The sequence below is a fragment of the Homo sapiens genome, chromosome 5 (genome assembly GCF_000001405.40).
Source record: "Homo sapiens chromosome 5, GRCh38.p14 Primary Assembly".
NCBI lineage: Eukaryota > Metazoa > Chordata > Mammalia > Primates > Hominidae > Homo > Homo sapiens.
In genome coordinates, this window is record NC_000005.10 from 137686747 (window position 1) to 137713015 (window position 26269).

A 26269-nucleotide genomic window follows, 5' to 3' on the forward strand; every position below is an offset into this window, starting at 1 on the left:
GGGTTCAAGGGAGTAAGCATGGATAATCATTTTCTACTTCTCCTCTAAATACTGCACAATCTAACCTTCATTCCCTTCTTCTAACATCTTTGCATCATGGCCTTATCTTCTGCATTATACTACTTTAAAAATATTACCTCCCTGAGGGGCGCCTCTGCCCGGCCGCCCCTACTGGGAAGTGAGGAGCCCCTCTGCCCGGCCAGCCGCCCCGTCCGGGAGGGAGGTGGGGGGGTCAGCCCCCCGCCCGGCCAGCCGCCCCATCCGGGAGGGAGGTGGGGGGGTCAGCCCCCCGCCCGGCCAGCCGCCCCGTCCGGGAGGGAGGTGGGGGGGGTCAGCCCCCCGCCCGGCCAGCCGCCCCGTCCGGGAGGGAGGTGGGGGGATCAGCCCCCCGCCTGGCCAGCCGCCCCGTCCGGGAGGTGAGGGGCGCCTCTGCCCGGCTGCCCCTACTGGGAAGTGAGGAGCCCCTCTGCCCGGCCAGCCGCCCCGTCCGGGAGGGAGGCGCGGGGGGGGGTCGGCCAGCCGCCCTGTCCGGGAGGGAGGTGGGGGGGTCAGCCCCCCGCCCGGCTGGCTGCCCCGTCCGGGAGGTGAGGGGCGCCTCTGCCCAGCCGCCCCTACTGGGAAGTGAGGAGCCCCTCTGCCTGGCGAGCCGCCCCGTCCGGGAGGGTGGTGGGGGGGTCAGCCCCCCGCCCGGCCAGCCGCCCTATCCAGGAGGTGAGGGGCGCCTCTGCCCGGCCGCCCCTACTGGGAAGTGAGGAGCCCCTCTGCCTGGCCAGCCGCCCCGTCCGGGAGGGTGGGGGGGGGGTCAGCCCCCCGCCCGGCCAGCCGCCCCATCCGGGAGGTGAGGGGCGCTTCTGCCCGGCCGCCCCTACTGGGAAGTGAGGAGCCCCTCTGCCCGGCCACGACCCCGTCTGGGAGGTGTGCCCAGCGGCTCATTGGGGATGGGCCATGATGACAATGGCGGTTTTGTGGAATAGAAAGGCGGGAAGGGTGGGGGAAAAATTGAGAAATCGGATGGTTGCCAGGTCTGTGTGGATAGAAGTAGACATGGGAGACTTTTCATTTTGTTCTGTACTAAGAAAAATTCTTCTGCCTTGGGATCCTGTTGATCTGTGACCTTATCCCCAACCCTGTGCTCTCTGAAACATGTGCTGTGTCCACTCAGGGTTAAATGGATTAAGGGCGGTGCAAGATGTGCTTTGTTAAACAGATGCTTGAAGGCAGCATGCTCGTTAAGAGTCATCACCACTCCCTAATCTTAAGTACCCAGGGACACAAACACTTCGGAAGGCCGCAGGGACCTCTGCCTAGGAAAACCAGAGACCTTTGTTCACTTGTTTATCTGCTGACCTTCCCTCCACTATTGTCCTATGACCCTGCCAAATCCCCCTCTGCGAGAAACACCCAAGAATGATCAATAAAAAAAAATAAAATAAAATAAAATAAAATAAAATAAAATATTACCTCCCTAGTGTGCAGAGCATAGTGGGCTGCTGAGAAAGCCACCCAGGAGAGGATCACAGGCACCACAGAAGGCCTGCATAACAGGGAGGAGACTCTCAGCCTGAAGATCATGCTGACCCAGCCAGGAAAAGTAGGAGGGCCTGCTCACTCATTCAGTGAGGGAACAGGCTCCATGTGTCTGGGAGGAAGTCACCCGACAGGGAAGAGAAGAAGACACCCACATGGCGCTTCCTCTATCCCAAGATGATGACATACCCTGTGTCTAGCGGACAGCTGGATGTCTGTCTACACTGTCTGGTTGTTGGGATTTGGTGACTACATTGCACAGGCTTCCAGGAACATGCTTTCAATGGAAAATGCCAACTCTAGCCACATGCACTCCTCAGTTACTGATTCACAGGGCATCCTTATGTCCAAACTGGGCCTAGAAGCTGTAGAATGTAATAAACACTGGCTCTGGAGTCAGCACCGTCTGGGCTTGAATCCTGCCTTCTGTCCCTTCTGTCACTATGTGACCTCAACAAATTACTTCACCTCTCTGTGCCCTGGTTTCCTCAGCTATCATATGCATTAAACGGGATGTTGCCAATAAAATGCTTAGCATAGGGTATGACCCAAAGGGAGAGCTCAATAAACACTAGCTAAGAATAATTCATCAGGATGTCTGCATACACAGACCCATAATGCAGACAGAACTCAATCACTATAACAGCAACAGGACCAAGGAGCACCAGAAAGATGGATGTGTTCCCAGCTGCATCTGCTGCACTCTCCCACAGATGAGTCTCATCATCAGATAGTGAAAGGGGCAAAGGAGAAAACACAGACGTTGAAAGTTGGGAAAAGCCAGGCCAGAAGAGCCTGGGAGCCCTAATAAAGGTGGGGATTCACATTAGAGAAATGCACATCAAAACTACCAAGTGATACCATCTCATACCAGTCAGGATGGCTATTATTAAAAAGTCAAAAAACAACAGATGCTGGCAAGGTTGCAGAGAAAAGGGAATGCTTATATACTGCTGGTGGGAATGTAAATTAATTCAGCTACTGTGGAAAACAGTCTGGAGATTTCTCAAAGAACTAAAAATAGAACCACCATTTGACCCAGCAACCCCATTACTGGGTATATACCCAAAGGAGAATAAATTGTTCTACCAAAAGACACATGCACACATATGTTCATTAAGCACTATTCACAATAGCAAAGACATGCAATCAATCTAGGTGCCCATCCACAATGGATTGGATAAAGAAAATGTGGTACACCATGGAATACTACGCAGCCATAAAAAAGAACAAAATCATGTCCTTTGCAGTAACATGGACACAGCTGGAAGCCATTATCCTAAGTTAATTAACACAGAAACAGAACACCAAATATCACGTGTTTTCACTTGTAAGTGGGCTAAACCCTGGGTGCCTATGGACATAAAGATGGGAAAAACAGACACTGGGGACTCCAAAGGGAGTGGGGGCAAGGGCTGATAAATTTCCTATTGGGTACTATGTTCACCATCTGAGTAATGGGATCAACAGAAGCCAAAACTCAGCATCACACAATATACAAACATAACAAACCTGCATATGTACCTCTTGAATCTAGAATGTAATTTTAAATTTTAAAAAAGGTGGGGATTCAGTATACTCCCCAAACCTCAGACAACTGTATCAGCCAATTAGGGTGGGATATGTGCTAGGTGTACACACACATGCATCACACACTATGTGGAAGGAGAGGGCTGGTAAGAGGAGACACAGAAGAAGGAGACAGAATTTCTGACATCTAAGCACTCTCCCTTTGCCACTGCACTAGCAAACGTTTGTGAAAAGAATCTGCAGGCCAGGCACAGTGGCTTACGCCTGTAATCCCAGCACTTTGGGAGGCTGAGGCAGGCGGATCACAAGGTCAGTAGATCGAGACCATCTTGGCTAACACGGTGAAACCCCATCTCTACTAAAAATACAAAAAATTAGCCTGGCGTGGTGGCAGGCGCCTGTAGTCCCAGCTACTCGGGAGGCTGAGGCAGGAGAATGGCGTGAACCCAGGAGGCGGAGCTTGCAGTGAGCCGAGATTGCACCACTGCACTCCAGCCCAGGCGACAGAGCGAGACTCCATCTCAAAAAAAAAAAAAAAAATCTGCAGAGAAAATGCTTGCCTTAGCACACCCATCCATCTAGAAAGTGACCTCTTCAAAGGCTTCACTGGGAGCCCTCCCCAGGAAGAGAAAGGGCTCCCTAAGTGAAGGTGGAAAGGCAGTGGAGAATATGCAGGGAAAAGAGAGCACAGGAACGGCAGAGAAGCAGAAGGGTCAAGGTTCAGAGCCAGAAAGAATCAGCAGGACTCAGAATTGAGGCTACTGGGTAATGTCCTTCACAAAAATCATCATATCAAGACTATCTTTACAAGTCTTCAGAAAGAAGACTTGTTTGTGCCTTCAGAAACAGGCTGCAGGGAGACATGAGAGTCTCTGCAGGCTCCTGGGGTCAGGGACTTAATCAGAGAGAAAAAGCATGCCAAGAAATGGAGCAAATGCTTGTTGCTTTGTTGACCAAGAGGCTAACACAGCACAGGTAGCTAGCTGGCAGGTGGGCAGCCAGTAGGTCCTCAGCTAATTTCCAGACACTGGCCAAACAGGAGACACGGAACAGAATAGCAGCCATGACAGTGCTTGAGCAGGGGTAAGAAGGAGGTGTTTTATTGCAAGGGAAGAAGGTGGCCATGACTGAATTTATCAAGTTAAATGATCAGACCTATTTCCTAGTCATTCACCATCTTTCTTCAGGCTGGAACAAGTGGCAATGAAGATTTCTTTCCAGCTAGCTAAATAAACATAATGGACTGAATATAAATGTTCATTTCTACTCCCTCCCAAAACCCCATTAAAATAATAGAATGACAAGCTCTAGTGCAGAGAATGTCTCCAAGAAAAATAAGTGAACCAACAGATTATCTGATGTATTGAGGACTGTTCTAACAAGAATTAGTGGTAGAACCATACACTATGCAAGAGAAAAAGACAATTATTAACTGCCCTTCTTATTAAAGTTTTCTGATTTAAAAAAACACTATAATTATAATAGATGGCTTAGTTCAGTTGTGGAAATGGTATTTGGACAATAAAGAGGGGGGTGGCTGCATGTGTATAAAGGGAAAGTCTGCAAAAGCTCAATCTTATTCTTCTGGAGAAGTCAACAAATAATATCTAAAACTAATCAAAAAATAGCAGTTGCACATATTATTTTGATAAATGGAAGTGAGTAGCAGATGAAGTAGCTTTTAGCTGGATCAGAACCTGCATTTTAATTCCTTAAGGATTGAAAATGAGTGGCTCTGGAGCACAAGACTCAGTGTGGAAAGGTGGAGCAGGGCACTCCTCATCGTTATAAGCCCTGCAATAGTACGTGACTTTTTTTTTTTTTTTAGATGGAGTCTCGCTCTGTCACCCAGGCTGGAGTGCAGTGGCGAAATCTCGGCTCACTGCAAGCTCCGCCTCCCGGATTCACACCATTCTCCTGCCTCAGCCTCCCAAGTAGCTGGGACTACAGGCGCCCGCCACCAAGCCCCGCTAATTTTTTTTTTTTTGTATTTTTAATAGAGACGGGGGTTTCACCGTGTTAGCCAGGATAGTCTCGATCTCCTGACCTCATGACCCGCCTGCCTCAGCCTCCCAAAGTGCTGGGATTACAGGCGTGAGCCACTGCGCCCAGCCAGTACGTGACTTTTAAAAGAATGTTTATGGAACGCTCAGATAAAAACAAAGCTTTTCTTAACAATAACAAGACGTAGCTCAAGACCTAGCTCAGTTTGCTCTCCCCACTCCCCAAATCTTCTTGGATCTCCTTCCTCTACTCTAGTGAAAATTACTGTCTGTACCATCCCCTTGGCAATTAATCATTTTCCACTTGGCAATGAGCTAAACTGTCCTATCATTAATTATCTTTCCACCTGTATCCCTAACTAAATCATAGCTGCTTCACAGCAGAGACCACTTCTCATAATCTTTGAGGAGTCTGCAGAAGACCAGGTGATTAGATCCACAAACTCGGAGGAGGTGCAGCAGTCCGGCTCCCCCTTACCTGCGTAGGCATTGGCCTGCTGCAGAAGGTCAGTGCAGGTGTGTACATCTGCAAATGCACGGATGCCCAGGCAATTGGTGGGATGCAACTGAGACTGCAGGAAGTCACAGCAGTTCTGCCGAACATCCATGAGCTGCAGCAAGCTGGCTGCCGGGAGCAGCACCTGCAAGAGAAGGTGACATTCTCAGATATTGGATCCCACTGGCAGAGACTCATCTGCCTTTTCCTATCATATCACTCCCATGCTCAAGATCTTTTCATGGCTCTCCACTGCCCGCCAGTAAGTCCAAACTTCCTAGCCTGCTTTCCAGCCTTATTTCCCACTACTCTGCCCTTCACGGACCCTAAACACCAGCAGATTCTCTGTATCCCTACAGCCATGCTTCCCAGTCTTTAATCCCTGGGGATCTTATTAAAATGCAGATTCTAATTCATTAGGTCTAGGATGGGATCTGAGAGCCTGCATTTCTAATAAGAACTCAAGTGATGCTTGCAGTTGCTGGTCCACAAACCACACTTTGAGTAACAAAACTCTACACACACACACACACACACACACACACACACACAATGGTTCTCATACTGGGCTGCACACTGGTATTACCTTAAGAGTTTTAAAACTACTGATGTCTAGGTCTTGCCCTAAAAGAATCTAACTCAATAGGTATGGAGTGTGGCCTGGACATTAAGATGTTTTTTAAAGCTCCCCAGGTGCTTCTAATGTACAGCCACGTTTGAGAGCCACTGTCCCACAACCTTCAGTGTACTGTCCTCATTCAGAAAGGTACTTAATGAATGATTAATTACTGAACATCTATGTGCCAGGCACTAGTTTAGGCTCTGGGATTCAGGGGTAAGCAAGAGAAACCAGATCCTGTTCTCCTGGAGCTTAGAGTCTACTGGAACAAGATTCATTCCAAATCCCTCAGGACTCAGGCAACGACACTTTATTCTCCCATCAAACAGATACAAAGCAAAGAACATCTTTAGGTACATTCTTAGAGAAAGGAGAGCTAAGTTTCCATTTAAAAGGTCACAGGACACATGACTATTTATACTATATCCTGAAAGACAGAAATAGTTCTTGCTCAGGTGTATATGCATGTGTTTTTCCTAAGGGTCAGGGAAGACTGGCTTGAGCAGGCCCGCTGGGTGCTCAGACAGCCAACCTCTATCAATTTTCCCTAGGACTTTCCCTCAGCTGCTGAAGCCTGCCTCTAGATCAAACATACAGGACAAAAGGCCAAAGTCCTGTCCCACTCCAGCTCTGCTACCCTGCCCTTCACCTATGGAAGCAGCAGGTAGTCTGAGAATGATTTTCCAAAAAGAAATTTAGAAAAAAAATCACACTACAGAATAGCTTGATTTAAGGCTGCTTATCTTGGGGACCCTGGCATCCACTTCACCCCAAAATAATCCCCTTGCCCCAGGCCTTTGCTCTCAGCTGCTGCCCTGGCTCTGAGAGAGTGACTGAGCCAGCTACACTCTAGCTGTTCCCAGCCACAAGGGCTTGCCCAGGAAGATATGGGCTGCAGATGCATTTGTTTTCTTGATTCAGGACACTTGAAAAAGACTTCTTTTTTTTTTTTTTAAGTGCTTTAAATTCTGGACTCTTTCTCCCAAGACAGCTCTGAGTCCTCAGCTCTGACTCTCATCACTTTTATGTACTCAGGCCAAAAACTCTGCCCCACTGCCCATTTGGGGGCTTTGTCCCTCCACTGGGTTTACCAACAGTCCTAGTTTTTCCAGGACTGGGGGTTTCCCAGGACTTTCAGGGCTAAAAATGGGACAGTCGGTCACCCTTCATTATCCCTGCCCACAGACAATAACCACCAAGAGCCACCACTATCAGTGCTCGAACTCCTGAGCCAAATGCCTACGCTCAACAAGGAAAGCTGCTCCTACCCACAGGCTTACACTTCTCTCTCACGACAGCTGAGTTCTAGAAAACGTGCTCCTTTTCCCTTCCTCCATCCTCTCTTCCACTATCCTATATCCCCAGCAGGAAAACAGTAAATTAACACCATGTCTGTGATATTTTCTGAACCACTAATACATTCCTGAGAAAGAAAAAGATAAAATCACCCTCTTCTGAAAGTTTTGGACTATAAATGAACACAGCCAGGATCCAAATCTAACCACCTGAACTCTCTCCCCACTAAGCAGCCATCATCTCCTCTAAGCAGCCATAAACTGGGAAACTCAATTAACCTGTGAGCTTGCTCAGCCCGGCCGAACAGATTCCAGGACCAGATTAGTCTCTGCCTGCTAGTCAAATGGGGATCCATTAACCATTCTTGCTGAATGCACACCAGGAATAAAAAGCTCTGCTCCCAGTCTCCAAATGACCTCCATGACACCCCCTGGCCAGTATCAGCTAGAGTTAAGACTGGTGTCAAGGCCATAGGTTGACCAATCATGCTGATTTACCTGGGACTTTGCCATTTTTACCACTGAAAGTCCCCCTCTCAGAAGGCCCCTCGCTTCTGGGCAAAATAGGATAGGTGTTCATCCTAGGGAGGAGTAACCTCTAACCAGTGACCCTCAGAAGCCCTGAGGGAGAGGAAGCCATCAAATGTTGGCCAGCACAAACCCTACTCAGAGGTGTGGTAAACTCCAAAAGGGCCAGATGTGAGAAGAGGCAGGAATTCAACAGCAACCCTCTCCCCACCACCCACCATCCAAGAGGATTTCTGAGAGTCCAATCTGCCCTCAGACTGCATTCCAGCGAGCTCCCCAACCCCATACGCATATACAAGATCATGCCAGTGACACACAGTCCCTTCCCCCTTCCCCTCTTCCAAGGAGACAGCAGCACAGTGTGGTGCTTAAATTCTCAAGCTCATGACAACCAGCCAGAGAAATGAAATAATAAATATTTCCTGAATATACTCCTTAGGTTACACTTTCCATTTTTAAAACCTCCCTGGATAGAGCTACCCACATGGCTTTCAACTTCCCTACTGTTCACAATACCCACTTAGTAGGCAAAAATTATAAGGCTTTCTACCTCTCCACACCCCTTATCCTGTTTGAGTCCACTCCTACCCAAAAGCCTTCCCAAACCGACTTCCTAAAATGAATGGGCCTTCTGGTTTCTCTAGTTGCTCTTTCCCTCTCTTTGACTCTGAGACTAGCTTAGAGTCAAAGGCCATTTTCTTCCTTCTACTTGCTTCATACAGAAAAGTGTGGGAAAAAAAAGTCAAGGAAATCAGAATGCTGAAGGGAAGGCTTGGAGGCTGGAAGATGTATCACTGCTCAGACTCTGGGTCTCAGGGATAAATTAGGGCCCCATCCAATGGGGTTCTGGGATCTAGACACAAGTACAAAATACATTCCCAGAGGCCCTGAAAGAAAAAAGAGCAATACATCCATGAAATGACTGTCTTCAGTTCCCTCTCCCCACATCAACAGGGCTTTGAGAGGACTTCCTCTTCTCTTATCTTGCCTGAAACTCTACTTCTTCAAAGCAGCAGCAGTGACAAGATTATGAACAAAAGGCCAAGTGCAGGTCCTCAGCTCTGAAGCAAGACCATCCTCATAGAATAACTAAGGCAGTACTGCCTGGTCCCTGGAGGGAGGAGGCTGAGATCAGAGGAGTAGTTGGCCAAATCCACCCATCAGGATGGAAGATTACCGTAAGTCAAAAATCTTCTAGCTTGCCTTCTGCCACCTCAGCATTACAGTTCTTGGAAAACAGGCCCTGAAATGGCCCCCAGCAAGAGTCTACAGGTTACCCTTCAGCTTGCAATGGCTTCCCCTCCATTTTTCATGTGCAGGCCCCGTTTTGTTTTTTTTTCTTCCTCAGATAACATGAAAACACAGCAGAGGATATCCTGCCACAGAGTTTGCTTCCTCTAGCAAAAACAAAAGGAAATGCCCTGCCTCAGAAAGCACCTTCTCCTGGAATTGCAGGGAGGCAGGGCCATGCACAGAGGGAGGGCATCAGCCAGGGGGCGCAGGTGTTGGGGCCACCCAGGGTCTCTGCCCCAATCACACAGTGGGTCTGGCACAGAATCAGTGCCACATAAAGAAAGAAAGGAAAAGAGGTGGGGGGGTATATAGATGAACAGGAAAGCTGGCAGAACAGCACTGTGATTAAGCGTCATTTTGAATTTTGACTCCTCCACTTACCAGCCATGCAACTGAGGACAAATTACTTAACCTCTCAATGCCTCTGTCTCCTCAAAAATAAAATGAGGACAATAAGGTTTGTTATGAGGATCAAATGAGAAAAATTTAAAGCAGTTAGCACAGTGCTTGGTACATAGGAAGTGCTCAGTTGATGTTAGTTTTTATTATTGTAAATAATTATGAGCCAAAGTCAAGGTTCTGATCATTCATTTCATGAGAAACTAGAATTCATCATAGCCACAGAGCACAGTGAGTCAGAGGGGGCTGGCTTCAGCTTCCAACTCTACCACTTACTCTCTATGTGACCGTGGCAGTTTATTTAACCCCTTTGAGCACCAGTTTCTTCAGCTGTAAAGGAGGAATCATATTGGTATGGTCCAATGGGTGATTATAAAAATTGAATGGAATAATGCATGTGAATTGATGGGCACATGCTTGCTTATAAAAGTATGACTGCTGGTACCTCCACCACGGAACAGGAACTCAGGGTCCCTCCAAGGTACGTGTGCCTGGGAAGGGACTCCAGGTGTAGCTCTCACAGCCATTTAACCAAGCCCCAGATCTCTGACCCTTGTTTCTAAGGCTTTCAGGAAAGCCCCAGTGCCTCCATGCTCATCTCCTCGGTGCACCAAATCCTCAATACCTCCTGTCTTCACAGACAACCTGTGAGCAACCGCCTCAGCAGATACATAACAGCATGAAGAAGAATCCATGTTTTTATCCAAACTCTCTTCTTCCCAATCTTTTTTTTTTTTTCTTTTTGGAGACAGAGTCTCGCTCTGTCATCCAGATTGGAGTGCAGTGGTGCAGTCTCAGCTCACAGCAACCTCCGCCTCCTGGGTTCAAGTGATTCTCCTGCCTCGGCCTCCCAAGTAGATGGAATTAAAGGCACCTGCCACCACGCCCAGCTAATTTTTGTCTTTTCAGTAGAGACAGGGTTTCACTGTGTTGGCCAGGCTGGTTTCGAACTCCTTACCTCAGGTGATCTGCCTGCCTCAGCTTCCAAAAGCGCTGGGATTATAGGTGTGAGCCACCATGCCCAGCCCCTTGCCAATCTTTCTTGTTTTTTCTCCAACATCACCCTTGACCTAACCACAGTTTAAAGTGAAGAGATTAAAAGTCCCCAAACAATGAGGTTCAGAGAATTTTCAGTTTGGTGAATGCATCCACATGCTGGGAGGGTGACATAACCCAACCTCATAAGACAGAAGCTTCTGGACTCAGGACCACCAAACAGTGAACATTATGTCCACATAAACTGTACCTTGCTTTATGTACCTCTTAATCCTAACCAGGCAATAAGGATCCAGAGTAGAATATCTTCTAATTATCCAAGTTTGTAAACACTTTGTATTTTACAGGAAAAAAAAGTTATTAAATAAATACATGATGAAAAGAGCAAAGAGAGCTGGTTCCAATTATAGACTTCTACTACCTCCCCTCTACTCATTTTATGCCAAATTACTTTGCACTTACTGTTAGTACCCAAAAGTTATTCACCTGTTTGAATTCTGAGATGAGACGATGACCTGGGGAGAATAGGAGTCACCTAAGCTCCCAGCTTTTCCTTCACAAGATTTTGAAGACATGAGTTAAAGATCTTCTACTCCCGGGGCCCAGGCTCATTCAGGGATATCATGGCCTAGTGGCTAAAAGCATGGGTGCCCAAGCCAGGAAGGCATGAGTTTGAGGACCAGCTCGACCACCTCCTGGCCATGTGGCCCAGGGCAGGTCACCTGACCTCTCTGGAGCTTTAGTTTCCTCTTCAGTAACCAACTGAATTGTTGTGAGGGTTAAATAAAATAACGCTGTAAAATGGTGGGTCCTGAGTGTGCAATACACTGAGCTATTAGTGAGCCTGAGTTTACCTGGACATTCTCTTCAGTCACCTCGATTTCAGCAGTATAGATGTAGTCAATCAGCTTACTCAGCGTCTGCCCATCCACGTCCTTGATTTCTATCTTTTTGGCTTTACTCTCAGACATGTCACCTAGAGTTTACAACAAAAACAAAATGACATAAATGTGGTACCTGGGATATGTTTACCTTCCAGATGGTCTCCTGCCCTGTCTTGGAAACATAAAAGCACTTCCTGGGCTCCAGGAGGCAGCAGAAGGGATTCAGGCACAGAAGAGGATAAACCAGGTAACATCAAGGTCACATCAGCTTTGGGTCTGTGATCACCTACAAACCCAGCCTTAAGCATTCCTTACTCTATCTATTGCCCACTTCCATTGTGAAGGCAAATCTGTGTGCAATCACTCATTTAACCAACATTTACTGTAAACTTCCATATACAAGGCCAGAAAAAGTGAACAAGATATGCACCTGTCCTTAAGGAACACAAGTCTAGTAAGGCAGATATACAAAAGTGTTTATAAACAGAGGTGATAAGAGCTTAGTAGACAGTTATACACAAAGTATTGTGATAACAACAATAATAAGTAACATTTCTTGAGAGCTAACTATGGCCACACACTTAAGCACTTTAAAGTCTTTTAATCCTCACAACAACCTTGAGGTTTATTAATATTATTGCCATTTTACAGATGAAGAAACTGAGCACAGGAGGGTAGGTAATTCATTTTGCCCACAGTCACACACCTAGGAAAGGCCAAGTTGGGTTGAAACCCAGGGAGTCTGACTCTAGAGTCCATATTTGTAACCACTACGCTATACTAAATCCCAAGAACACAGAGGAGGGAGCAACAAATCTCTCCTGGGAACTCCAGTCAGGCATCCTATTAAGAGGTCACATTTGAGAGAGGTATTAGAGGATGAGGACGAGTTCTACAGGCAGCAAAGGTGAGGAAGGATGAGCTGAATCTGGGATCCATTCGTGCAAAGAGAAGAAAGTACCAAAAGAATAAATTTTGGTGAAATGGCGAGAGGTTGGTGTGGCTGGTACATGGAGTAACAGTGAGAAGAAGGAAGCTGGAGAGGTAGATGGGGCCAGGGCTTGACAAGCCCTGTAAGTCAAGCTGGGACTTTATCCCAGGTGTAGCACCATTGAGAGGTTTTCAACAGGGAAATGACATCAACAGATGGGCATTTTTGAACGAAATTTTGGATGCAGGGTGGAAGCTAGATCACATGCAGGGAGAACAGCTGGAGGCCCTGATAATAATCCAAAAAAGAGAGAAGGCAGGGCTGTAAATAACGGCAATAGCAGCACCACATTTCCACGGTCCTGAGGCCCCTTGCCTTCAGCCTGCACTCTATATACAACACACGGGTTTATCGAAAGCCAGGCCCATTCAACAAGGGCTGCTGATTTCAGGAAAGACAGGCAACACATGTCTTTGTAGACTGAAATAAAGGGCAACCTAACTGCAAGAAACAAGAGATCCAGAAGCCTCAATGTGAGTGTGAAAACAGAGCCTGGGCAGTTGTTTTCTCTCTGTGGAATTCATACACCAGAGCCAAGAAAATAAAGTACAGTACAGCATGTGGGCTGCAGACACCCACCTCCAAGCTGCACGGACTGCACATGATTCCTCCACCAATCCAAAGTCCCATCCTGACACAGTTCTAGAGCTGAATGACTGGAACGGAGAGAAAAGTAGCGGGGGAGACATTCCAAACCCCGCCTGCTCCCTTAACTGCCAGATCAGGTGGACCTGAGACCCTCCACCCTGTTCTCTCTTCTCTGACTGCCAGTGAAAGCCTGTGAAAGGCCTCAGCACAGTGCCCTGGGGCAGAATGAACAGGTAAAGAAACAAGGGAAAAACAGTATATTACTCCTCCACCCATAAGACAGGATCCACAATCTCTCTCTTGAGTTTATTGAGACACACAAACAAAAACATGCATACACAAGGAAATCAGAAGTTAAGCTATTAAAAAGTTCATTGATGAGGGTCCAGTTGGTAATTACACTGCAAAAGATAATCAAAGATAGCCAATTCTTTGTTTAAGGAGTTAGCCCTCAAAAAATAAGACTTAAAAAATAGAGCAGCCGGACTGTAAGAACCAAGAGATTCAGAAGCCCTCACAGCAGTGTAAATCAGAGCCTGGGCTGACTGTTTTCTGCCTGTGGAATTTGTGGTTGAAAGTCAGGTTAGGGTTTTGTAACTTTGGGGTAAATAAATGGAAACGCCTGGAATTGTAAGAAAATATTTTTATATATGTGCAAAAGTTCACTTTTTCTAGGGGGATGACAGGTCATTTTTATCAGATTCTTACAGGCGTCTATGATTCAGAAAAGGTTAAGACACAGTTTTCTAGACAGTAGGTCTTTAGGAGACTTCTCCTTGCTCCTTTACATGACCCTCAAATTTCTAATTTTCTATATTAAGTACTTAAAACTTAAACAAGCAAGAAAAAAATGATGTGAAAGAAAAACTAAGGGCTCAAAGACACCACTTATTTTCTGAGAAAGCTTGTAGAATCCAATCTTATTATCTCTTATGAACCAGCAAAAATGACTACACCAAACTAAGACTTTAGTTTAAATGGGCCCTAAAAATAGTCATACTAATAGTCACTACTGTATACCTGACCTTCTGCTAAGGTACACTAATGTGTATCTGACCCACATTATTTCATTTAACCCTTGAAACAAGTCCAGGAGGTAGACAGTATTATTTCCATTTTACAAATTATAAAACTGGCATTTCTTTTTTTTTTTCGAGATGGAGTTTTGCTCTTGTTGCCCAGGCTGGAGTGCAATGGCATGATCTCAGCTCACCGCAACCTCTGCCTCCCGTGTTCAAGTGATTCTCCTACCTCAGCCTCCCGAGTAGCTGAGATTACAGGCATGCGCCAGCATGCCTGGCTAATTTGTTTTTTGTTTTGTTTTGTTTTTTAAGTAGAGATGGGGTTTCTCCATGTTGGTCAGGCTGGTCTTGAACTCCCGACCTCAGACGATCTGTCCTCCTTGGCCTCCCAAAGTGCTGGGATTACAGGCATGAGCCACCGTGCCCGGCCAAAATTGGCATTTCAAGAGGGATTTACACATAGATACTAAGAGGCAGGACTGAGATTTGAACTTTGGCCTAACTCTAGACCCTGTGTCATTTCTAATACATCCCTCAATAAAATCTCACCCTAACTAATAACCTTAATAAAAGTATTCCCAAACTCAAGGCATTGGTCCAAATTCTGAGGACAAGTTAGTACTTAATACCTAGCAAAGAACCAAGCGGCTTATCCTCAACACGTAACAAAGTGCTTGGCATAAAACAAGCATTGAAAAAGTATTTATTGGAGTAGAAAATTTAAAAAAAAGAAGGGAGGTTCTCTTGACATCTCATAATTCCATGGGCTTCAGTAATTCTGGAGGAGGAAAACCATCAAGGACTTGGTCACTCTTGCTCCTTCACTCATCTCTAATAGTTTGAGAAAATATTTCCAGAAAACAGAAGATGAGCCCTGTAAGCCCTTCCATGTTTGTGGTCAACCCAAGTGCTCTCTTCTGCTAGCTCTTCCCAAGAGGCCCAGACAGCCACCTCAGACTCTGAACTTTCAGAGAATGTCTGTCAACTGCATATCTTGTTAGCCCTTTCCATCTTCCACTTACATCTGCTAACATGCATGTCCTGTTTCTCCAAAGAGAACATGATTCTCTCTAGGGCAGATATTTGCTCATTTATTCAATTCACCAAACACATATCAGATGTGTCCTCATGTGTCAAGCACTGTGCTAGGCCCAGAGAATACAGTGGTTAACAAGTCACAGCCCTGCCCTCATGGAGCTCAGTCTGGTGGAGAGAGAGACAAGAAAACCAACAACTGCAAAAGATGTCAAATGTTAGAAAAGGGGATGTAGCTTTAAAGGTTCTTAAGCCAGGGATTCCTGCACCCTAAAGCTGCATGCAAAATGATGAGCACACAAGAGCACCAGGTTTGCTCTTCCAGAGATAGAGTCCATTGTTTTCATCAGATTGATGCATAATGGTTAAGAGTCACTGATCTGGAGGAGTCATAGTTATTCAGAAGAGAAGTGAGAATGAGGGAAGAGTATCCCAGACAGACAGAATAGTATATACAAAGGTCTGGAGGTAACAAAGGGTGTGACCTGTCTGGGAACCATAACAAGTTCAGTCTGGCTGGAGCACATTAGGGAAGAATGATGAGACAAGGCTGTAGATGAAAGCAGGAGCTGGACCATTTGAGGGACTTACAGGCCACGCTAAGGAGTTTAGACTTCATCCTAAGGGCAACAGGGAGCCCCTGATAGATTTTAAGCAGGTAAGGGATACATCAGATTTTTATATTGGGAAAATCACTGTAGCCACAGTGTGGAGAATGGGTGGGGAATGGGAAAACAAAACAGGTGGCAGATTGACCAATGAGAAGACTGCTGCAGAATATCAGGTAAAAGATGATGTTGGCCTGACTGTGTCTTGAACTTCTTTAAATACGTAGACCATTAGGGCCTTGCACTTAGCAGCCTCTGAGAACCACGGAGGGCCCAGAAGAGCAAGCAATCCCAGAAGCCTATTAGGTAAAAGCATCCAAGTCTTCATTCTAGATCCTAACAAGCACACTATGTGCACAGCTGAGACCTTTTTAGGTGGAAGACTGCCAAAGAAGAGCAAGAGGGAGAAGGATGGACTGGAGGAGGGAAAGGAAAATCTTTCATTATCACAGAAGACTCAAGATGTCCAGAAAAATCACTAGCTCATCTTCCAGGTTATTAAGTAAATAAAGCCTTGAGAATGAAAATGGAATAGATTGGTTGGCAGGTCTCTCTGACGAACACCACAGCTAAACCACCGACCACCCCTACATAGTTATATGTCCTTAAAGACAAGAAAAGGGAGTGTTCAAGAGTCCTTATGTCACAGAATACCTTCTTGCTCCTAACTTGAATTAGTACTGTAATTTAGTCTCATGTTCTGGGTAGAGAGAACAAAGGAAAATCCTTACCCTTTGCGCAATGATTCTTCATGGGCACTAAGATGGTTATGGAACTTTCTTCCCCCCAACCCTCATCTAAGTCCTAAAATCTGGGCTGCCAACTCATTTGGCTAGAGCTGAGCACTAAGGCCAAAGACATTAACCTCACAGGAGAAAAAGAAATACTCTGCCATCTCCTTGAATCCTGACCAACCCTGTTGCAGGTGAGTGGTCTGGGCCATTTGACTGCAGATCAGGGAATGTCCTTAGTTCACAGGTCCTTATGTCACATTGGGAGTGAACAGCAGTCTGTATTCCTAAGTGCCACACAGTCCTCTGTTGAAGCACAGGTCACCCTATATCACCTGTGAAATAAGGACATTCTCTGTTCTGCCTTTATCCCAAGGTTGTGTGAGAATCAAAGGAGACAATGAGATTGTGAAAGGTGGGACAGCAGGATCCAGCAGAACCACAGTGATAGACACCGCCTCATCACCCGCCCTCCCTGGAATCTCATCCCTCCTCCACCTGGAAATATCTTTCTGCTCAACTAGAAGCACGAGAAGCACAAAGTCAGGAAAAAAATGCCTCTGTGTCATTACATAGTGACTACAAAAAAAAAAAAAATCAACCCTAATCACCTCCACCCCCGACATCCACAAGAATTTTAAAAACTATGACGTGCTCTACAATAATAAAAGTAGACTTTATTAACTATCTACACAGTGCTGAGTGCCTTATACCCGTTACCTATATTTGTTCCCTACTTATTGTTATTATTCCAGTCCCTTCAATAAGAAAGCTGAGGATCAGAGAGGAAAGTGAATTCTCCACGCACCTATGCAGTTAAGATTGGAATACAGCCTGTAATCCCAGCACTTTGGGAGGCCGAGGCGGGTGGATCATGAGGTCAGGAGATCGAGACCATCCTGGCTAACAAGGTGAAACCCCGTCTCTACTAAAAATACAAAAAATTAGCCGGGCGCGGTGGCGGGCGCCTGTAGTCCCAGCTACTGGGGAGGCTGAGGCAGGAGAATGGTGTGAACCCGGGAAGCGGAGCTTGCAGTGAGCCGAGATTGCGCCACTGCAGTCCGCAGTCCGGCCTGGGCGACAGAGCAAGACTCCGTCTCAAAAAAAAAAAAAGATTGGAATACAGGTCATTATTACTCCAAAGCCCTTTCCAAGATACCACACCATCTCCCAGTGCAAGGCGGCATTACCACACTTGTGTTTAATCCTTAGTAAAGAGGCCCCCACATCACCAACTCCAAACCTCTTCTATGAACATTCATAAAATATTCCTTACCAATAGTTTATCTCCAATGGTGGTCTCAATTTTAAGGCTGAGCTACTCTAAACCCAAACAAGTCTACCTCAGACCATCTTGGTCAAACCAGTTGCACCTTAATGGAGAAACCACTGGAAGTGAATAGCAGTCTCTATTCCTGAGCACCACACAGTCCTCTGTTGAACCACAAGCCAAATTCCTGCTCAAGAAACTTGCCATTTCTGCATCAAGGGTAACATTATTAGACAGGACTACTGGCTCCCTCACCTTCAAATCTGGGTATCTGGGTCTCTTGAGCCAGAAAAAGATGCCTGACTTTATTGTGGTATGATAGGGACAGGAAGAAGAAGCCCTATGTCACTGTCACTTAGCCCAAAAGTGACTAACTCTAGAAGATAGCCACGTGGAAGGTGAAGCCATTGCTCCTTCATCCCAGGCAGCCTCTGACACCGCCATCCCTTTTTCTCTGAACTATTCTACCTAATCCCTGACTCCTCAGGGGCAAAACTCTCAGAAACCAGACCCTATCTACTACCACTATTACTCTGCAACCTCCCTGAAGGCCCACTTTGTCTAAGAAAAGAATTCTATTCCCTAGTTCTCCTTCTCTCATTGTCCATTGCCTTGTATTCAGTTTTGCTGAGCTGCATGTTATGCAGAGCTCTTCAAAGGCATCAATATACCACACAAACACTAGAACACAGACACAGCCACAGGCCAGGGCCTGGTAGAGTCTGGCTTGCAGCAAGGGTGAAACAACAGTTCTGTGGAAGGAACTTCATGCCTGGGAAGTGAATAAGACAGCCAGGCCCTCATGGTTCTGCCTTGTGGATGATTCCTGCCTACTCCAAGTCTAAGCCCCTTGTCTCTCACCCCCAGCACATTCCTGAACTCTCCTCTCTATTTCTACTTACCATATATTCAAAGATACCAAACATCAGCCTAAATCTAATAAAAACTGGACAGTAACTCCTCTTTAAAAAACAAAAACCAATCTAAATCAGCCACTACATACAGTACAATATGACCAGATGAGTGGGACAGATCACTCCCAGGGCTTCATTTGGGATGGAAGCCCAAGTGTCTTTTAGCCATGATTATGGGCATAAGACCCTGAGCCCATATATTCTGTAGACCTCAGTTCCTTTAACACCATAAAATAGGGGCTGTATCTGGATGACATGTAGGCAGGGACCCATATGGAGTACAAATACTACAGTATACAGAAGCCATGGTAAAGGGCATGATAAAGAGAGAAACACTGATGAGGAGATTTTGGGAAAATTGCTTCCCTTGGGATGGAGGTGCTGGATGGGGAGGATGGGGAATGAGTCCTAGACATTTCATCTTTATAGGAAAAAGATGGGCAGAACACAGCACTACTGGCCTCCCCACTCAAGTTATGCTGAAAGCAGTAAAGGGCAAATAGGTTGACTGCTCACCCCAGATCTTCTTATAGACTGGTTGGATTGGGACACTCTCTGATGGGCACTCAGACTTCAGTTTCACATTTATTCCAAGTTATTGTCCACAGGACAATGGTCAAGAAGTGTGGGATTGGTATTTGGAACCACCTCAGGACATTTGGGCAACATGAACTCGGAAGACAAAAAAATAAAAACATTTAAGCTTGAGTAAAAGACCATAATCACACAACTCAAGTCAGAAGAAAGCCATGTGTATTTTACTTTCCTTTTGGCTTTAAACACACTGATAGAAATGGATCTAACGAGAGTCAGCCTCTTACTCTCAGTACACAATGCATTTTACACGTTTTGAAGCTGAACCTGATAATTAGAACAAAATTTTGCAATGTTACTGGAGATTTTTAGTATCTGTTTACCAAGGTTTAGGCAAAGCCAATGGGCCTTAAAAATATATAAATCTTAGATATCTTGCTGATGGGAGCATAAGCTGGTACAACTGTTCTTTAGATCAATGCGGCACATGTCTCAAAAGTCTTCAAAGTGTGCATACCTTTTAATCGAGTACTTCTTATTCTAGGAATCTATTCTAGTAAAATAATCAGGAATGTACATAAAGATTAAGATGCAAGGATGCCCATTATATCATTATTTATAATAACAAAATATTACATAAAACTATAATTTCCAACGAAGGAAATGAATTTTCAATTAGAGTATATATAATGGAATCTTATGAAGGCATTAAAATTAGGTTGTAACTGCAATTTCATTGACATGGAAAGATATTCATTATATATTGCTAAGCTCAATTAAACAAATTTTTATTGATCACCTGCTATATGGAAGACCATGCTAGGCAGCAGGGACATGGTGGTGAATTTTAAAGGTATAGTTCTTACCCTTATAAAGAGTATGATTGGCCAGGGAAATCAAACATTGAGGAAGTAATAAGATGAGTAGTAATACTAAAGAGAAGTATAAAGTACCATGGGAGTAAGTAGCAAAGGAATTTAACCTAAGCCAAAGAGGTCATAAAAGGCCTTCCTGAGGAAGTGATGCTTAAGCAGTAATGAAGGATGAACGGGAGTCAGACAGGCCAAAAGATGGAGGAGAGAACATTCCAGGAAGATGAATAGCAATTTAAAAAAAAATACATACATCAAAAAAGGCTATTTAGGCTGGGAGCAGTGGCTCATGCCTGTAATCCCAACACTTTGGGAGCCGAAGCAGGTGGATCACTTGAGGCCAGGAGTTCAAGATTGCCTTGCCAACATGGCAAAACCCACTCTCTACTAAAAATACAAAAATTAGCCAGGCATGGTGGCACACACCTGTAGTCCCAGCTACTCAGGAGGCTGAGGCACAAGAATCACTTGAACCCAGGAGGCGAAGGTGGCAGTGAGTTGAGGCTGCACCACTATACTCCAGCCTGAGCAAAAGGGCGAGACTCTGTCTCAAAAAAAAAAGACTATTCAACTGTACACATTAAATGAACTTATGTTAAAATATATATTTTGTATATGTATACATTTATAAATATAAAATCTAAAAAGATATAAACCATACTCTTACCTAGATGTTGTAGTACACGTAATTTTTTACTTTTTGCTTGCCCACAGTTTCTGGTTTTTACCTGTAATAAACACATGTGAACAGTATTTGGATGGACGGGTGAATGGATGGGTGGAAGGATGGATGGTAACCAGGTTTAATGGAAGGCTTGGGCTGGGCATTGCATTACACTGCTTTCTTCTCTTGATTCTCCCGTCCCTTCCATTCCTAGAATCTAAGAATGCCCCAGAAGCACTTTTTCTTCCAATTTGTAAAATCACTTTGGTTTTGCTATGACACTTCCGCTACTTCAGAGGCAAGTTCGTTAACAAAAAGTGGAGCCAGCATGACAATTCATTGCAATTCCAAACAGATTCCTCTCTCAACACTGAACTTTCCAAACTCCACACACAAAGAATAACTGGCAGAGCTATTTATTGAAGTTACAGCTAAATAACTATTACAGACAAGATGAACTATTTTAAAATAGAGATTGATGAAGGAAAGGGGGAAAAAAGGAAATAAAGGCCTTGCAGCTAGGGTTTAGGACAACTCAAAAGGGAATGCAGCTCAAAATTTCCAGATACTGAACTTAGCTAGTTTTCTGGGCTACAGTGTGAAATTCCTGGCCCAAGGCTGAAAGTAAGGTAAGAGTAGCCTGGTCCACTTAGCAGAGGCACCACTCCAAGTTGAGACCAGTTCCTTCACATGACAAGCCAAGGGGGACACACATGTGACAAACTCTCAGTGCACAAGTGCCAAGTCTCTCCCAACAAAACCAGTCTTGCCCAGCTGTGTACCATATTAGGAAAAGGGTCACAGCCCATTCAGCAAAAATGTGCCTGCACTCACCCCTCCTTAGCAAGCTTGTGTTCATTCTTCAGACATTCACTTATTCACCGCCTCCTGTGGTGGGCATGGAGGATTCCACAGCAACAAGACATGTTCCCCAAGTGCCCAAAGCTCACAGTCAGGTGCAGGAGATACTTCACTCACTCATTTAAAAAATATTTGTGTCCTACCATGTACCAGGTGCTCAGTATATGGTAACAAACAAGCCCACCAAGGTCCCTGTCCTCATGGGGCTTATATTCTAGTGAGGAGAGACAGGTAAAAAACACATAACAACAAACCAAGACGATTTTCAGATGGTGATAAATGTTATGAAAAGATGAAGTCAAGTTATAGGATAGAGAGAGGCCTGGTGTGGAACTATGGCCAGAGTGGTGAGAGGGGGCCTGCCTGAGGAGACATTTGCAGGATAAAAAGCAGTCAGTTACATGAGATACAGGGCATGGGCATTATAGATTCCAGGAAACAGACAAGAATGCAGGGTGACAGTCGCCATACTCAGAGCAGGCACAAGCACTTGGAAAGCATGTAGAAGGGACACCTGACCCAGTCTGGAGGTCTCACCAAGCCCAGATGGCCTCCTTCTGTCGGCAGTGATTTATAGAGCACTGAAAGTACCTGGTTCAGGGGAAGTGCTGAGAGAAACTACAGACAGGAAGCTCAGCCTGTGGGTTTCAGGTAATTCAATCTCAGAACTAACAGATGGGAAATATTTGGACAAGACTATTGGGCATGCCCAGTAAACAGGGACCCTGGAAAGTTGGCAAAGGTGCTGAAACTGAATGCCAGATATTGATTATACCTATTTCTCATCCCCCTCAAAACCCACCATCATTTTTCCAAATCTCCTCCACTCCTGTAAAGACTAGCGGAGGTCCAGGGCCCCTGTCTGGAATGAAGGTCTAGGGAAGGACAATAGGTAGGCCAGCTAGTAAAGCACTGGGCCAGGTGCCAGGAAGCCAAGTCCCACTCATTCACTGTGACCTTGGGCAGGTCTCTTCCCTTGTCTCAGCCTCAGTGTCCTCCATCTGCAAAGTGAGAGATCAGAAGACCTGGCCATGTGCCCAGGAGTCTACATTGTTAACAAGCTCCCCCACATGATTATGGTGCAGGGTGAGTTTTGAGAACTAATGGGCTATGTGAGTCTACCTTTTTTCCTCATGGTGGACAAGGGCTACATGCCCAACTGGCCTGGACCTGGTTCCATCAAGTCCTCCATGGCACAAAGCACACTATCTGGCGTAGAGAAGCCCCTCATAGTGGGCTAATGGCTTTCTCTTTCCTCCCTCCCCTCATGTCACCACCCCCAACATTCTCCCAGTGGGGCTGCAGCCCCATAACCATGGGTTAATGGTGGCCACTCACCATACCTGTGAACATCGCACAGAAGTAGGGGCTGCAGGCTGCCAGGACCACACGGTGGGCTTCTATCTCGACATCTTCTGCCACAATCATCACGTCACACAACAGCTGTTTACTGTAAGACACCAGTGAGAGGACAGGATGGGTTGCAGCAAGGACACCTACCCTCATCTTACAAGGGTATTTTTTTCTCCCACCCAGATTTCACACTATCACTATACAAAGCTGTCACAGGGACTTGCTCTATCTTGAGTTAGGGAGGGGGGTGGATTCATTGACTTTTCCAAGTCCCTGATAAACCTGACATTCATGCTTTCCTAAGGTCCATGGAGAGATCCAACTACTCTGTGGCTGTAAATTCCAGGCTGCTTCATTTGTCTTCACCTCTCTGTTCCCCAATTCTATCAGTTCAGATTGAGAAGTAGGGGTTTTGCGGCTCAGGGAACAGTGGCAAAAGCTTGGGGCTGTCATTCGAGTGACTGAATGAATGCTGAGGAACATGAGCATACCAGTGAAGTGTGTCACCAGCAAGACCAAGTACTAACAATTCCCCCAAGGGACCCACTGTATATGCAACACCAGTAAGAGGCAAGCCGGCCTTAGGTATTTCTCTTTCGACCCAGATTTAACGCTTTCAACAAGAAGACTCTGCCTGCAAACACAGTGCTCCCTAAAGACCCTGTGCAAACTCCAATCACTGTAATTATTAAAAATACTGTAATTACCTTTCTGTTTGTCACCCCAACTCAGAAAGGGACTTGTCTTATTTAATGTTGTATCCTAGACACCTGGCTGCATACCTAGCACATAGTAGACCCTAAATTTTTACTGAATAAATAAATTAATGAATGAAATGTGATCAATCCACATTCATAGACAGAATAGGGATCTGACTACTTTAGAGATTGATAGGGTGCCACAAGCTCCCATCAACCCAAGAATTTTTCCTTCATCATTCTTCTAAGCTCTTATCATGCCTGTTATCAATATAATAGTTAATATTTATTGAGTTATATGTGCCAGGCACTGTTCTAAGCACTTTTTTACACATATTACTTCATCCTCTCTACCACCCCATGAGATAGGGCTAATTGTTATGCCTATATTGAAAATGAAGAAACTGAGGTCCAGAGAAGTAATTTTCCCAAGGTCACACAGAAAAGGAACAGTGGAAACAGGATTTAAATGAAGGCAGCTGAAGCCCAGAACCCATGCTCTTCATTGGTATCCTGATCACCACTCATCCCTCCTTGAGATTAAAGCACTAGAGAGAGTAGGAAAGACAAGGAGGACAAACACACTTCAACTGTGAGCCAATGGTAGTGGTTACTTGGCACACTACCCTGGTTTGAGAAGGCTGAGGTCATGACTAGATTCTGTGTGAGAATGTTGAGGCCAATTAATGAGTCTGCCATGGTTGACGGATGGAAGAAAAGCTACATATTTGCTATCTCTGGTGTAGCACACTAAGTCACTGTCAACTACTAAGATATTTGTTTAGGTTCACATATCAGAGAAATAGAATCATAAGGCCTGAAAAGGCTGGAGCTGCAAATGCTACTAGAGATCATCTGGTCTATGAAACTCAGAGAGGTGAAAAGATGCCCAAAGCCACAGAAGTCTAAGTCTTGAATCCAGTTCTCCTTACTCCAGACACAGTGACTTTTCCATGGTATCACAATGCCTCATGATTGGCTGACATTCAGAATGAGAAAAGACAGAAGACAGGTTAGCCCCAACAGGGAGAAGTGGACAGGAAGTAGAATAAAGTATCGTTAAGGAGGCTTCCTGGAAGGGTGAGACCTTTGGACAGCAAGAGGCAAAACCGGGGGATTGAGACCTTACCCTGCAGTGGACAGCAGACCTTAATCACCAACTGTATCAGGATAAACCAGTGCAACCAGGAACAGAACTGGCTCTTCCCCTAACTGGCTATGAGACCATGGGCAAATAAGCTCACCCCATTTTTCTCACCTGTTTTAGCTGCCTTTGGGACATATATCATGGGGGCCAAATGGGATTACAGGTGCCATCTGAAAATGGCCTTTAGTCTCATTAAATTTTATTCTAAAATTGTATTTCCAACATGAATAGACTCATCTTGGACATTTTTACTTACATTTAGGAAGAAAATTGAGTTATCACTGCTATTTAAGAATAACCACACTTTGGGAGGCTGAGGAAGGCAGATCACTTCAGGCCAGGAGTTTGAGACCAGCCTTGCCAACATGGTGAGACCCCTTCTCTACTAAAAATACAAAAAAAAAAAAGCCCGGTGTGGTGGCAGATGCCTGTAATCCCAGCTACTAGGGAGGCTGAGGCATGAGAATCGCTTGAAACCCAGGAGGCAGAGGTTGCTGTGGGCCAAGATCATGCCACTACACTCCAGCCTGGGTGACAGAGCAAGATTCTGTCAAAAAAAAAAAAAAAAAAAAAAAAAAGAGTAACCGGTTATATTTTTTGGTAACTAATAAGAAAATTGTTGGCAGAGAAGAGTCAGAAATGCTGAACAAATGTTCAGTGCTAGGAGCTGAACAAACAAATGTCAGGGTGTGTTATCTTGCACAAACCCAGGGAGCCTGACAATTTTTGAACAAATGGGAAAGAAACACAAGGGAATGAAGAATAAAGATGGAGAATCCAGTTAAGCAAATAAATGACAGCAGTTCTGATGGGTGGAAAGTGTATCTTAAGGCCAGAGAAACACTAACCTGGGAAATTGGCCAAAAGAAACTTGCCAAATAGTTAAGATGGGCTTTCCCTGGGGGTGGGGAAGCCTGTCTGCACACTGGAGACATCTTTATGTATCCATGCTACATGGAAGAGGGAAGTAGTAGCTCTAAAGCACTGCATGGCTCACAAGCACTCCTATTCAATTTACCTGGGATCCTATGGGATCCTTTTTTCCGAGCTATCACACTACTCCATCTTGAGGGGAGAAAAGTAGGACTAGACACTTTGCCATTTGTGGAAAAGTACAATGTAGCTGTTAGGAAGGAGCTCAGGCTCTCAAATCAAACTCACCTGAGTTCAAGCCTCTCAAACCTCTGTCCCACCACTCTCTAGTGTAGACAAGTACACAACGTCCCCAGAGTGTCACAGAATTGACATGTGCTGTAAATCAGATAATGCATAGTGCTAATAGTAAATATTTAGCAAATGTTAACTTTTCATATTTTGAAAAAAAATTTTAAAAAAATGGTTTTTTTTCAATTGTCTGCTTCACTTTTCCTCCATATCTTCTTTTTTCCAAATAATATTTCATTTAAGATTA

At 45.2% G+C, this 26269-nt stretch overlaps 1 protein-coding gene across 3 annotated transcripts in view, besides 3 other annotated features; it reads right to left on the minus strand.

The window, feature by feature from the left end:
* The window catches only part of KLHL3 (kelch like family member 3), a 118590-nt gene that overhangs the window by 69247 nt on the left and 23074 nt on the right, over positions 1 to 26269 (minus strand). For 2 of the 3 annotated variants that reach the window (NM_017415.3, NM_001257194.1), the window contains exons 3-5: positions 23004 to 23110; positions 11541 to 11662; positions 5539 to 5701 (exon numbers count right to left, since the gene is read on the minus strand). In NM_017415.3, the coding sequence (NP_059111.2) occupies positions 5539 to 5701; positions 11541 to 11662; positions 23004 to 23110 (392 nt within the window). Of the gene's footprint in view, positions 1 to 5538; positions 5702 to 11540; positions 11663 to 19245; positions 19691 to 23003; positions 23111 to 26269 lie in introns of those variants that run through there. The other variant, NM_001257195.2, reaches the window with a different exon arrangement.
* Positions 792 to 1526: an enhancer, noted in NCBI's record as "NANOG-H3K27ac-H3K4me1 hESC enhancer chr5:137023227-137023961 (GRCh37/hg19 assembly coordinates)". NCBI's record gives its function as "activates a minimal SCP1, AML or CMV promoter by ChIP-STARR-seq in naive H9 embryonic stem cells {active_cell/tissue: H9 hESC(naive)}" and the evidence as "EXISTENCE:reporter gene assay evidence [ECO:0000049][PMID:30033119]".
* Positions 7532 to 10492: an enhancer, noted in NCBI's record as "VISTA enhancer hs2181". NCBI's record gives its function as "enhancer in: blood vessels[9/9]" and the evidence as "EXISTENCE:transgenic organism evidence [ECO:0001131][PMID:17130149]".
* Positions 8720 to 8920: a silencer, noted in NCBI's record as "peak5487 fragment used in MPRA reporter construct". NCBI's record gives its function as "represses an SCP1 promoter by STARR-seq MPRAs in K562 erythroleukemia cells {active_cell/tissue: K562}" and the evidence as "EXISTENCE:reporter gene assay evidence [ECO:0000049][PMID:32103011]".